Source organism: Homo sapiens, chromosome 3 (assembly GCF_000001405.40).
Source record: "Homo sapiens chromosome 3, GRCh38.p14 Primary Assembly".
Lineage (NCBI taxonomy): Eukaryota > Metazoa > Chordata > Mammalia > Primates > Hominidae > Homo > Homo sapiens.
The window spans coordinates 71870070-71884186 of NC_000003.12; the positions used below are offsets into that span (position 1 = coordinate 71870070).

Here is a 14117-nt window from a genome sequence, read left to right on the forward strand (position 1 = left end):
ACATTGAAATACTTATGTATAAATTTAATGCAATATGTAAAGGGTCAATAAAACGCAGATGAAATAAATCAAAGAAGACCTACATAAATGAAAAGACATACTGCACTCAAGAATTGGAAAATTATAATGTAAAGATGTTAACCCCCCCAAACTCATCTATAGATGTAACACAAACCCAATGAAAATCCCAACAGGATTTTTTGTAGACAGAAATAAGTTGATTCTAAATGTATATGGAAAGGCAAAGAAAGAATAGCTAGCAGGATTTTAAAAAGAATAGAGTTGGAGAAATCATACTTTTCCATTTTAAGGCTTCTGTAAAGCTGCAGTAATTGAGATCAAGATAGCATGGTATTGGCAGAAAGATAAACATGTAGATCAACGGAACAGAATAGACTTCCAGAAATAGACCTACACAAAGATGGCCAACCGATGTTATTTTAATTGAAGTATAATTCACACACAATAAAATGCCGTGACTTAAAGTGTGTAAATTGATGCGTTTTGACTAGGGCATATACCCATGTAAGCCACACCCTGTAAAGTATATGCCCATTTCCATTACTTCAGAAAGTTCCCCTGTGTTGCCTCCCCCCATGGGCAACTACTGTTTTCCAGTTGAGTTTTTGATCAGTGTGCAGAGGCAATTCAATAGGGAAAGGATAGTCTTCTCAATAAGCGATGTTTAAAGCATTTGGGCATCCAAATGCAACAAAATGAACCTTGACCTAAATCTCATACCTTATTCCAAAGTTAACTCAAATTAAGTTATACATTTAAATGTAAAATACAAAATTATAAAATGTTTAGAATTAAACATAGGGAAAAATCATGACCCATAACAGAAAAAAAAAATTGTAAGCTGGACTTCATCAGAATTAAAAACTTTTTCTGGGAAAGACACTGGTAAAAGAATGAAAAGACAAACTACAGACCGAGAAAATATTTACTGATCACATATCCAGCAAAACACTTGTATTCAGAATATATTAAGAACTCTCGAAACTCAACATTAAGAGAACAAACAGTCCAATTTTTAAAATGAGCAAAAGACTTGAACAGGCACTTCACTAAAGGGATGGCAAATAAGCTCAGGAAAAGATGTTCAACATCATTAACCATTAAGAAATGGCAACTTAAAAACCATGATGAGATACCCTCCACATCTATTAGAACGGCTGAAAACGTGAAAATACTATGGCAAACACTGTGACGGTTTCTCGTAAAGTTCCAGGCACGTCTACCAGCTGACTCAGCATCCCACTACTAGGAATTACCTAAGTATTACAACATGAAAATTTATCTACACCCCCAAACCTATACAGGAATGATGATAGCAGCTCTATTTATAAGACATACTGCACACATAAATGGGAAGATAACAATGTAAAGTTGGGAATCCTCCCCCAAATTCATCTATAGATTTAACACAAACCCAGCTCTATTTATACTGATTATAGCAGCCAAAAACTGGAAGCAGCCAAATACCCTACAACGGGTGAAAAAAGCGTTATGTCCACACAATGGAATTCTGCTCAGTAATAATAATAATATTAATTTTAAAAAGAACTATGGATACATGCAACAGCTTGGATGACTCTCAAATACATTATGTCGACTGAAAGAAGCCAGTCTCAAAAGGTTATATATTGTATGATTCCATTTACGTGACCTTGTGGAAGAGACACTTTGGTGATGGGTAATGGCAGTGCTTGCTAAGGGTCAGGGTTGCAGGGTTGGGGCGGTGGGGGGTTCTGACAACAAAAGGATGGCGTGAGGGAATTTTCTGGGTGATGGAATTGTTTTGTATTGATTGTGGGAGTGGTTACTTGAATGTGTATGCGTGTTAAAATTCACAGAACTGTGCTCACGTACAAAGTCAATTTTACTGTATGTTCATTTAAAAAGTAAAGTTTTAAGAATTTTTTTTAAAAAGAGTTAAAATGTTTTCAATGAGACAGTCAAACATAACAGGAAGAAAATACTTATCCAGAATGTGTTATTTATATATTTTCAGTGCTCAAACATTCAGGAAAAACATAATGTGTTGTTTTGTAGGGAAAGCTGAAAAGGAAAAAAAAAATTAAAAAGGGAAAAAGTAAGTATTGCCTTAAGCAGGGGTTCCCAAACTTCAGTTTCTATAAGAATCATCTGGAGAATTTTTTAACTTTTGTTTGTTTGTTTGTTTGTTTTTTGCTAGACTTCACCCATCCTCATTCTTTGAGAAATTACTTGGCTGGAACAGAAAAGGTAAGTTTTCTCAGCTGCATAGGTAGAGACACGTGTTCTATAATGCTAGATCAAGACCACACTGGACTTGTTCCAGTAAATCAAAGAGAGATGCTTCTGGTTTCAGTTAAGTCATTAGAACAAAAATCTTCCTTCAGAGAGTTTACATTTGCAGTGCTTAGGCTTGTAAAATGAGACACATAAATAAACCCTCCTCCGACCAGCAAAACAAAAGTATTTTTTTCCTCTTCACAGATTGAAGTAGTTCAAGTGAGAGTCTCTGAGTTTTCCTAGGCAATCACCAAAGAACATTAGCCTTTAAAAATAAGCTGATGATTAAATGACTTGCTCCAAGTTATTGGTGGAATATAAAGTTTTTTAGATTGGTTGGTTTTTGTTTTTTGGGGGAGGCAGGGAGAGGAGATGCCATTGTGTAGAAGCAAGCAAACATGGCATTTTGGATTCTGGAAAATAATGTCAAAAGCATAACTAAGAAAGCCCTTTCTTTCCTATAGTTTCAGTTTCATATTAGCCTACCTTTAAAATTGTGTTTTTAAAGTAACGTTAAAGGGGTCATATCTGATTTTTCATAGCCTTTAAAAAAAAAAAAAAAAGAGAGAAGAAAAGTAAAATAAACTCCTGGCATGCTTATAGTTCCATTATCTCCCTAATTACCCTAAATTTTAATATTCTAATTACTCTAAATTTTGGAATGATGCAAATTAAACTGTTACCTAACTTGTTGACCTTGTAGAAAGAGTGGAAAGGGAACAAGAGCTGGATATTTTGATTCCAGAGGCACTGGTTTCATCACGGTTTTAGGCAGGAACCAAAAGTACCGCACATCAAAACAGTAGCTGTTTTCTTCAACCCACACGCGCACACTCAGGTCAAGTATTCTGAACCAAAGGCACAGGTTGACTCTTGAGAGCCGTGGGCCCCTTCACCAGCCTGAGGGGATGACTTGGGAATTTCAAACATCCGGGATTGCCACAGCATTATACCTCATCTAAAGTAGGTCCCTCTTTGTAGGATGAAAAGAAAAGCGCTTTTCTTGCACCTTTCACCAGAGGAAGTGGATTTGGCTCAGCAAAAGGGCAGACTGCCGATGGGACCAGAGGACTCCCAGGCCTAACCTCTACTTCGAGAATGGGAAAACCCTGGCCAGCAGGCCTGATCTAAGAGCTATGTTCAGAAGCACAACAGAGTACAGCCACTTTGGAAAACCATCTGGCAGTTTCTTACAAAACTTACCATGCAATCCAGCAATTGGGTTCTTAAGTATTTACGCAGTGAGTTGAAAACTTATGTCTACACAAAAACATGCACACAGATGTTTATTGAAACTTTATTCATAATTGCCAAACTTAGAAGCAACCAAATGTGGCCGGGTGCAGTGGCTCACGCCTGTAATCCCAACACACTGGGAGGTTGAGATTGGCAGATCATTTGAGATCAGGAGTTTGAGACTAGCCTGGCCAAGGTGGTGAAACCTTGTCTCTACTAAAAATTCAAAAATTAGCCAGGTGTGGTGGCAGGCATCTGTAATCCCAGCTACCCAGGGGGCTGAGGCAGGAAAATCACTTGAACCCGGGAGGTGGAAGTTGCAGTGAGCTGAGATCACGCCACTTCACTCCAGTCTCAGTAAGAGTGAGACTCCATCTCCAAAAAAAGCAGCAGCAACCAAGATGTCCTTTAATGGGTGAATGGATAAACAAACTGTGGCACATCCATTCAATGGGATATTATTCAGTGATAAAAAGAAATGAGCTAGTAAGCCATGGAAAGATATGGAGAAACCTTAAATGCATATTATTACGTTAAAGAAGCCAATCTGAAAAGGCTGTATACTGTATGATTCTAAGTATATAACATTCTAGAAAAGGCAAAACTATAGAAATAGTAAAAAGATCAGCGGCGGCCAGGGGCTGGAGGAGAGGGAAGGATAAATAGGTGGAGCACGGGCTCGGCGCGGTGGCTCACACCTGTAATCCCAGCACTTTAGGAGGCTGAGGTGGGCAGATCACCTGAGGTCAGGAGTTCGAGACCAGCTGGCCAACGTGGAGAAACCCATCTCTACTAAAAATACAAAAAACTAGCCGGGTGTGGTGGCAGGCACCTGTAATTCCAGCTACTTGGGATGCTGAGGCAGGAGAATCGCTTGAACCTGGGAGGCGGAGCTTGCAGTGAGCCGAGATCATGCCATTGCACTCCAGCCTGGGTGACAAGAGCAAAACTCCTGTCTGAAAAAAATAAAATAAAATAAGTGGAGCACAGGGGATTTTTAAGGAATGGAGCTATTTTGTGTGATTCTGTAATGGTGGATATATGACATCACGCATTTTTCAAAACTCAGAATGTTCATCACCAAGTGAACCCTAATGAACCCTAATGCAATCTATGAACTTTAGTTAAAAATCATGTTATCAATATTGGCTCATCAATTGTAGCAAATGTTTCATGCTGATGCAAGATGTTAGTAATAGGGAAAATGGCTGTGTGTGCATATGTGTGGGTAGGCGTGAGAGCATATATGGGAACTCCCTGTACTTTCCACTCAGTTGTTCTGTAAATTTAAAACTGTTCAAAAAAAAATTAAGTTTCCTAATTCAAAAAACACACACAAAACACATGTGAAGGGCCTCTTGCCCTGGCCAGGTCCCCGGGCCCCATTGCAACATTTCGTGGATTTGGCTTAGTTTCCTGATGGTTTGCACCCTGGGTTTTCTGAACTTCAAAGGACCCTGGCTACCTGAGGTGTTCATTCCTACCTGTTGCCTGTCTTGACCATCTTCAAAATCACCTGCAGTGATAGACAAGCTCTGCCCACACCAGGAATGTTTCAGCTTCTCCCACAGGTTTACCCATAGTACCTTGAGCCTTTGTGTCTCTGAGTGACAATTTCCTCATCCATAAAATGGACATAACGACACAATCTGTCTTTACACTTGTTCTCATGCAACCCACCTGTACCAAGTTCCTTCCTTGTGCCAGGCACTGTTCCAGGCACAAGGGCTGCTGCTGTGAAGAAAAGAGACAAAACTCCCTGCCCATGTGGGCTTCTATTCTAGCAAATGGATTAGTAGGAAAACTCATGGAATTTCTAAAATAGTATTTGGCTCATAGCAGGTGCTTGATAAATACCAGCAACTGTAGCGGTGAGCCCACTGCCTCTACTGGGACAAGAGCTATCATTCGGGGCTTGGCAGGAAACACCTGTGCAAACCCTAGAAATGCCATCCCCAGGCAGGCTGCAGCAACTTTATGCCCCAGCAGATGGCAGCAGCTGCAGACACATCCCATGGTGGCCCTGAGCGCCTGCTAAGGGGAGGGAGGAGGGATGGGCTGATGAATGAGAGGCTCAGACTGTTATCCTCTGGATCACAACAAAATCCTGTTCTTTCCTCCTGAAAACAGAGCTCCTTATCTTATCGAGTCATCTCTAGCTTTGTCCTTTCAAAAGCAGCCACTTAACCCCCTGCAGCAGGGAGACAAATCCTTCCCAGCCCTGCAAGTCAGAACTGAGGTTTCAACTGCTGAATTTGAAAGCGGAAACCACCTGAGAATTTAGTGGGTTCAGAGGGTCACAAAGTCAAAGGCCTCTAGGGGCCAGGTAGGGAATGATTGCATGAGCAGGAGGAAAGAGGAGAATTGGCTGAAAGGCTAAAGATGCCTCGCAAAGCTCTTCCTGGCTCCACCGGATCACCCCAAATGCTGGGAGGAGCCAGATATCTGGACTGTGATGTGATGTCACCCCATTTTTTTTTTCTTGAGACAGGGTCTTACTCTGTTGCCGAGGCTGGAGTGCAGTGGCACGATCATGGCTCACTGCAACCTCCGCCTCCCAGGCTCAGGTGATCCTCCCACCTCAGCCTCCAGAGTAGCTGAGAGTACAGGCACATGCCACCATGCCTGGCTAATTTTTGTATTTTTCTTTTTTGTTGTTTTTATAGAGATGAGGGTTCATCATGTTGCCCAAGCTGATCCTGAACTCGTGGGCTCAAGCAATCCACCCACTTCTGCCTCCCAAAGTGTTGGGATTACAGGCGTGAACCACAGCCCCTAACCTGTTGCTCCATTTTCAGAGCACAGTGTTGGCCCAAGAACTTCTCTGACAATTGGATTTGGCCTGAGCTCTTTAAGTTGTGACCCCTGACACTTCACTTGAGCTATTTCCAGATAAATTACACGTCCTGATGGAAGCCCAAAGAGGAGTGTTTATTTGCTGAAGGCCACCCTTTGAGTTGGGCACAGGCCAGAGTTAAACTGAGTTCCCTTTGCTGGTTCTGCTTGTAAAGCTGCAACCCTCTGCCATTAAGTGGGGTGTGTTTATGTGTGTGTCTGAGAAGAAAAGCGAAGTGGTAAAAATATGGAGTGTAGCCTGAGATAACTGCAACTGGTATTATTACTTCTCAACTATAGATAATAACAGCACTAACAATGCTGAACAATTGATTGGGCATAGGTGCCAGGCACTGGGCTGAGAGTACTTTCCATGGATTAACTAATTGCATCCTCGTACCCAGCCCAGGAAGACATTGTCATTATCCCCGTGTCATACAGGTGGAAAGGAGGGCATGGAGTGATCTTCCGAGAATTGCTGAGCTGGAAGTGGTAGGATCTTAATCCTTTTGCTTTGACAAGGGAGTGATCAAAGGAGAGCTCTCTTCCTGGCCTCTTGGCCCAGGGGCCACCCCAGGGAGGAGACTGGAGGGATGGTACCCTGAGATGGGGGTGCTGTAGGAAAGGGTTCACAATCCAGACCCCAAGAGAGGGTTCTTGGATCTTGCCCAAGAAAGAATTCAGGGCGAGTCAGTAAAGTGAAAGCAAGTTTATTAGGAAAGTAAAGGAACAAAAGAATGACTTCTCCATAGATAGAACAGCCCTGAGGGCTGTTGGTTGCCCATTTTTATGGTTATTTCTTGATGATATGCTAAACAAGGGGTGGATTCTTCGTGCCTCCCCTTTTTAGACCCCATAGGGTAAACTTCCTGATGTCGCCATGGCATTTGTAAACTGTCATGGTGCTTGTGGGAGTGTAACAGTGAGGACGACCAGAGGTCACCCTCATCACCATCTTGGTTTTGGTGGGCTTGGGCCGGTTTCTTTACTGCAAAGTGTTTTATCAGCAAGGTCTTTGTGACCTGTATTTTATGCTGACCTCCCATCTCATCCTGAGACTTAGAATGCCTTAACCGTCTGGGAATGCAGCACAGCAGGTTTCGGCCTCATTTTACCCAGCTCCTATTCAAGATGGAGTTGTTCTGGTTCACGCGCCTCTGACAGGGGGAGCCAGGACCCAGGCTTGCTGGGAAGGGGTTTGGAGAGAGCGTTTCCTCCCCACCTGGCCTGCAGGCATCACAGCTGACAACTTTCTACCTCTCTGCATCCTCAGATAACCTTCCTGGGGAAGGTGACAAATGACACAGGAAAGAGAAACAGGCCTAGACCAGGAAAACTGGGAGGAAGGGTAAGAAATTTGCTCTGGCTTCCTGACAGAGACCGACCCCAGATGGGCCCTGGGGACTCCAGTGAGGCAAGGGGGTCCTCTGGGGAGCTTCAGAGCCTGCTAGAAGTGAGTGGAATGCCTGTTGGTTCTGCCAGGACACTGGTGACACAGCATATGGACTAGAAGCAGGAGGGTAAGGGCAGCCAGCACCAAGTCTCTTCCCACCCCTCTCTGCTCAAGATTCTTCCAACGTCCTCTTACAATAACTCGCTCCCCGCTCTCCTGCCTCACATTCAGACATAAACTCAATATTCAGTGCTTTTCTAGTATTTTCTAGCTTGCCAGAACTCTCAGAGTTGTAATGCTGTATCTGGACTCTCCCTTCTCAGTATTTACTAGTTTATCGCTTAGGTAAGTCTCGTAACATCCCCGAGCTCACTTTTCTCATCTGTAAAATGGGATAACAATACTTACTTTACAGGTTACGGTTCTTGTGAATTTTCCCTCCAGGGTAAGATTTGCACTTTAATAGAATTTTTCAATGCCTTAAGTTGAATGAATGATGAATAGAGGGGGCTGCAGCAGAAACCAGGCTGCCAGTGCACATGTGCAGCTTGGAGGTGCTGCGGTGCTGATGCCGAGGAAAACTAGGACACAGAACACGAGACACCGTCATTTGGAATCACTTCTTCTCTCCTTTACCTTCTATACACACACCCCTCAAACCATCAGAGTTAGAGATGCCTTGAGTCAGGACTGTGCTTTTCCTCTCCATATTTCCCGATATGTAAAATGAAATCATAACAACCATCATAGCCATGTCCTAGGGTTGTGATTGTGAGGACTGAATGAGTTAATGCACATAAAACCCTCACCGCAATGCCTAACACCTAGGAAGCACTATATATGGGTTACTTGCATAATTACTGGGTTGGCCTTAAGTCTCAGTTCCTACAAATGTGAGCTATTAGTGAACGTTATTCCTCCTGTTCAAACTTGCATTTGAAGATATACGTGTGTCACATTTCCTGAAATCTTGAAGGTCTCTCAAACGTCATTTACATTTGGATTCAGAGGGAACTATACTTAATCTATGCACTATTGTTAGCATAAAGCAGCTTGCTGCATTGGGAAAGACACAGGGGCAGATGATTCAGAGCTTGCTGACCTTGGAGCTGTGTGACCTTGGACAAGGTGAGAAACAGGAATAATTCATGGAGTCTTTTAAGGGTCAAATGGCATCATGGATGTGAAAGGTAAAAACCTTAAGAAAAGAGTAGAAAGCTCTTATTACTAACACTGCCAAGTGGATTCCTAGGAAGTGGGACGAGGGGATTTTCCCTGCTTCTGCTCCCTAAACTCAGCATCTCATACATCAGTAGATGTGGGTGGGGTGACTGGCCCGGGATAGCACACACGGCTGCTTAAAGCTGGCCCGTGGAGATGTTTTGGCTTAAGGATCACAGCATGGAAGGGAACACATATGGCCTTTTCTTGCTGAGAAAGGAAGATGATAAGCCTTATTCTTGTTCTACCACATCCAGCCACAGTATGGAGCAGTGGGACGCCGGGATATTTTAATGGGAGCAGGGTATCTCTTAGCAACCCGCGTCTTTGCTTCATTCTGTGGAATTCCTGAACCTCTCCGCACTGAAGTTTTCTTATCGGTAGAATGGGGATACCACACATATAGGGTATTGGAAACATTAAATGCAATGATGCTTGTAATTGATGAGCAGAGTACCTTCAATAGCATGTGGGAGCAAATGGTAGCTATGAATCTGGGACAGTGTTGAGCACAGAATGAACGAGAAACCTTTTGTTATAGTACCAAGGCTCAGAAGAGCTTAGTTTGTATTTGGATCTGATTCTTGGGCAAGACACTTACTTAGCATCTCAGTTTCCACAACTATGAAATAACCAAATCAGAATTTCCTAAAATGTTTCTGCAAAATATCTAAAAATAAGGGATGGCCCTTTAGATGTCCCATAAAGAGGATGCTGTGGCCATGAAGTCTGAGGAAAAGCTCCATCATCTCTTGTTCAGAGATTTCCAACAGGGGTGGGCATTACCAGGTCCAGCACAGCTAGCCTGTGCCAGCTCACAAGATTGTTACAGTTTCAGAAATTTTGTGAGCCGGTTTTTAAACACAGCCATCATTAAAAATTAAGTTACATAAACGGACAAATCATATTAAACACAAATATAGTAAAGACTCAAAACTTTTCACTTCCTGTGTTACTACATTTCACTAGTATCTATGCTTTTGAGGACATGATGTTTATTGTATCTGTAGAATGGAAATACTACAGAATGGAGTGCTACTGCGTATCTCTTGTCCACTGTGCATTCAGTGACATCACATCCGTAGCTTGAAATCAGTCATGGCAGGAGTATTATACTCCAGAAGCTGATAAATGCTACAAATCACGGCGATTTTATTTGAGAGAGAAGGTTGTTAAACATTTACCAGCACACTATTGGCCCGTGATTAGCTTATTAAAGACCCCAGCAAGTTCAGCAATACACTCAGTTAACTAGGTAATTTTCAAACCTTTTGGACCAGAGAACTACTTCATAGACAGCTTTTAGAAAACATTTGGTGATGTCTGAGGCTGACGCGGAGGCTCAGGCCTGTAATCCCAGCACTTTGAGAGGCGAGGTGGGTAGATTACCTGAAGTCAGGAGTTGGAGACCAGCCTGGACAACTTGGCGAAACCCCGTCTCTACTAAAAATACAAAAATTAGCCAGGCATGGTGGTGGGCACCTGGGAGACTGAGGCAGGAGAATTGCTTGAACCTGGGAGGCAGAGGTTGCACTGAGCTGAGATTGCACCACTGCACTCTAGCCTGGGTGACAAGAGTGAAACTCCATCTCAAAATAAAACAAAATAAAATAAAATAAAATAGAAAACATTTGATAATGTTTGAAATGCAGCACTGGCTGATCCTATCGCCCCTTTCTGCCATTTTCCTGAGAGGGTGCAATTGCTGAGTTACCATGTTGCAATGCGCACCTGGTTAACTGAAGGCTCCGTTCAATGCTCACTTCACCCACTTACCGAGAAAGGAGCTCCCTGTCACAATTCCATGAGATTTACAGACTTCTCCCCTTGCCAATGAAAGTTTTTTGCATTCTTCACATTTGTGAAATGTACCACCTGCCACGTGTCTTTGCATGTGTCATTCTGCTGCCTAAACGCTACCCTTTCCTTGTCCCTCTTTATTCTTGAGATCTTAGACATAGGTTTTAAGGGGCGATCTGAGCTTTTGGTCAAGTTAGATTCCTCTGAGCCCTGAGATTTCTTCCACTCCTCTGACATTCCCGTAGAACCCTGCTCCTTGTCTTCAGGGTGACTTTCTTTAGTTGGTAATTATACATTTGTATCCAGGGTGTGGTGGATGAAATATTAGCATAAACTCTTTGTAGCTCTTACCATTAAATTTATTTCCCCATTCCTTGAATGACTGGGGCTGGCCTTGTAACATGCTCTGACCCATGGAATATGGAGGCCCTACCCCTCCTGGCATGCTGCCCTGTGACCTCCATGCTGGTCAGCCCAGCAGCAGTGGAGAAAAGGACAGAGAAGAACTGAGATCATGCTGAGGTGTCTCACGTGAAAAATCAGCTCATGAAGGGAGAAATAGCCTTGGGAGCCAGACCATCCTTGTGAGGGGAGGCTTCCAGTTTATTTTGTTCCCATTCATTACATCAGCACCTGATCCAGATTTTAGATTTTTCTCATGCCAGCTCTGTGTATGGTGAGATGTACGGGAAGTTTAAATAGCTCCACACAGTGTAGTATTTTGTATGTGTTAGCTCGAGCTGCATGCTAGGGGCAGACTGCTACCCAGATGAGAAATTTATACACCAGGGCAATCAGCTTGGTTTTAATCAGAAAGGATTTCAGAAACATTGATTCTAAAAGCATTGCTAATCCTTGCGTGAAATCCAGAGTCTTTGGTCATTCACAAAATGAACATTAGAAATATGTTCTGTTAAAATTAGAGGTTTTAAATTAACATATTAGATGCTGTAAGTGGATTCTCCTTGGGCAATTTAGTGGTAGTCAGGATACATGGCTTGGCCAGAGCATTGTGGGGCCAGTCCTCTGCCCTTGTAAGAGGGTAGAAAGTCCAGGGAGGCCTGCAGTGGGTACTCTCAGGGATGACACTGGAGACTTTGTCTCCTGGTCTCCTGCTGCTGCCTCGAGGCTAGTGTCATGCCTGCTGCATGTGAACCTTTTTAGGAAAGGTGAGGTTAAAAGGGCAAAGACCTGGGACTTCATCCAGCTTGCAAAAACATTTTCTATAAGCCATTTTATGCCTTGTATTTAATAAGTACGTTTAAATAATATATCTGTAATATATGGGCCACAACTTGGAGACTTGCTTACATTATAACTTGGCCTTCACTTGCAAAAAGTGAAGACGTTGATTGATCTACTTTTTTTAAAGCTTTTTCCAGATCATGGCACATGGAAGGAAAACTGAAACAGAGAATGGCAGTGTTACTGAAGAGATGTGATGAGACTGGAGTTAGGTCTGATAACATGGCTGGAATTTACAGGGCAGAGTTCTAGAGAAGTAGCAGTCATACAGAGAAGAAGCTTCTGAAATCTGCTCAGAAAAAAAAAAAAAAAAAGAAGCTTCAGGAATCCTAGACTCTTTGGGTACCAAGTGACAAGTATGCAGCACACGAATCCAGGTGGCTAGGAAAAGAACAAAGCTATGAGCTGAATTGAGATTTGGAGCTTGTATGGAACTGAGTTTTTTTGTTGCTGTTGTTTTTGTTTTTTTATTTTGACAGGGTCTCACTCTTTTGCCCAGGCTAGAATGCAGTAGTGTGATCTCAGCTCACTGCAGCCTTGACCTCCTGGGCTCAAGTGATCATCCCACCTCAGCCTACCGAGTAGCTGGGACTACAGATACGCGCCACTACACCCAGCAAATTTTTGTACTTTTTGAAGAGACAGGGTTTTGCCATATTTTTAGGCTGGTCTCAAACTCGTGGGCTCAAGCAATCTGCCTGACTCAGCCTTCCAAGAGATATTGGCTTAAGTGTATATGGCGTATACAATCTCATATGGAACAGAAGTGTATTGTTGTAAGTGTAAATGAATAGGCTGCTTTGAAAATTCTGGGTACTCAGTTGACCCTCAAGAAAGGCCATGTGTTAGGAGAAGGTTACTATTGTCTTGGAGTTAAAGATATATTAGCCCCTCCCTAACAAACATTAAAAACAAACCTCAAAGGATCAAGCTGATCCATAAGGAAATTAACTGTCTGCCAGACAAAATCTGATATTTAAAGGAAGACGACAAAATCCAGACACTGAACAATGCATCATCCAAAATGCCCAGAACACAATAAAATATGCACAGACACCTGAAGAAGCAGGAAAATGTGAAGGACAGAAAATCAGTCAATAATTGAAACAAATCAGAAGAAACAAGAAGAAGGAAATAGAAGAAAAGGCTTTTAAACAGCTACTATATACACAGTCAAAGATGTTAAAGGAAAACAAAAATGTTATGAGGAAATAGATGGCAAATCTCAATAGAGAAATGGAAACTATAAAAAAGAACCAAATTATAAAAACTGAAAAATACAAGATTTGACATAAAAATTCACTGGATGGGATTAATAGAGACACTACAGAAGAAAATATTAGTGAACTCAAAGACAGGGCAATAGTTAACTAATCAAACTGAAGCATGCAGAGAATAAAAGATGAAAAAAAAAAACTGAATAGAGTTTCAGTGACCTATGGGATCACATCAAGTGATCTAACCTACTTTTCAGAGTCCTTGAAGGAGAGAAGAGTGAGAGAAGGACAGACAAAAATATTTAGGAGGCTGAGGCAGGTAAATCACCGGAGGTCAGGAGTTCAACACCAGCCTGGCCAACATGGCGAAACCCTGTCTCTACTAAAAATACAAAAATTAGCCAGGCATGGTGGCATGCACCTATAATCCCAACTACTCAGGAGGCTGAAGCAAGAGAATCTCTTGAACCCGGGAGCCAGAGGTTGTAGTGAGTTGAGATCACACCACTGTACTCCAGCCTGGGCGACAGAGTGAGATCCTGTCTCAAAAAAAAAAAAAAAAAAAAAAATTGGAGAAATGTTAGCCAAAATATTTCCAAATTGATGAAAACTTTAAACCCATAGATTCAAGAAGCTCAGCAAATCTCAGATGGGGTAAACACAAAAAAATCCACACTAAGGCATATCATGAAAAAAATTGCTGAAACCTAAAAATAACATTATTAGAAGGTTACAGAAAAAAAAGACATTACACACAGACGGACAACTATACAAATGATGAATGACTTCTCATTAAAAACAACATGAGCCAAAGACACTGGAATGACATCTCAAAAGTACCGAAGGAAAAAAACTGCCTGTCTAGAATTCTATGTCCAGTGAAAATATTG

The 14117-nt window shown here is 42.2% G+C and overlaps 3 annotated features.

The window, feature by feature from the left end:
- Positions 2889-3425: an enhancer, noted in NCBI's record as "NANOG hESC enhancer chr3:71922109-71922645 (GRCh37/hg19 assembly coordinates)". NCBI's record gives its function as "activates a minimal SCP1, AML or CMV promoter by ChIP-STARR-seq in primed H9 embryonic stem cells {active_cell/tissue: H9 hESC(primed)}" and the evidence as "EXISTENCE:reporter gene assay evidence [ECO:0000049][PMID:30033119]".
- Positions 5371-6302: an enhancer, noted in NCBI's record as "OCT4-NANOG-H3K27ac-H3K4me1 hESC enhancer chr3:71924591-71925522 (GRCh37/hg19 assembly coordinates)". NCBI's record gives its function as "activates a minimal SCP1, AML or CMV promoter by ChIP-STARR-seq in naive and primed H9 embryonic stem cells {active_cell/tissue: H9 hESC(naive and primed)}" and the evidence as "EXISTENCE:reporter gene assay evidence [ECO:0000049][PMID:30033119]".
- Positions 7233-8164: an enhancer, noted in NCBI's record as "NANOG-H3K27ac-H3K4me1 hESC enhancer chr3:71926453-71927384 (GRCh37/hg19 assembly coordinates)". NCBI's record gives its function as "activates a minimal SCP1, AML or CMV promoter by ChIP-STARR-seq in naive H9 embryonic stem cells {active_cell/tissue: H9 hESC(naive)}" and the evidence as "EXISTENCE:reporter gene assay evidence [ECO:0000049][PMID:30033119]".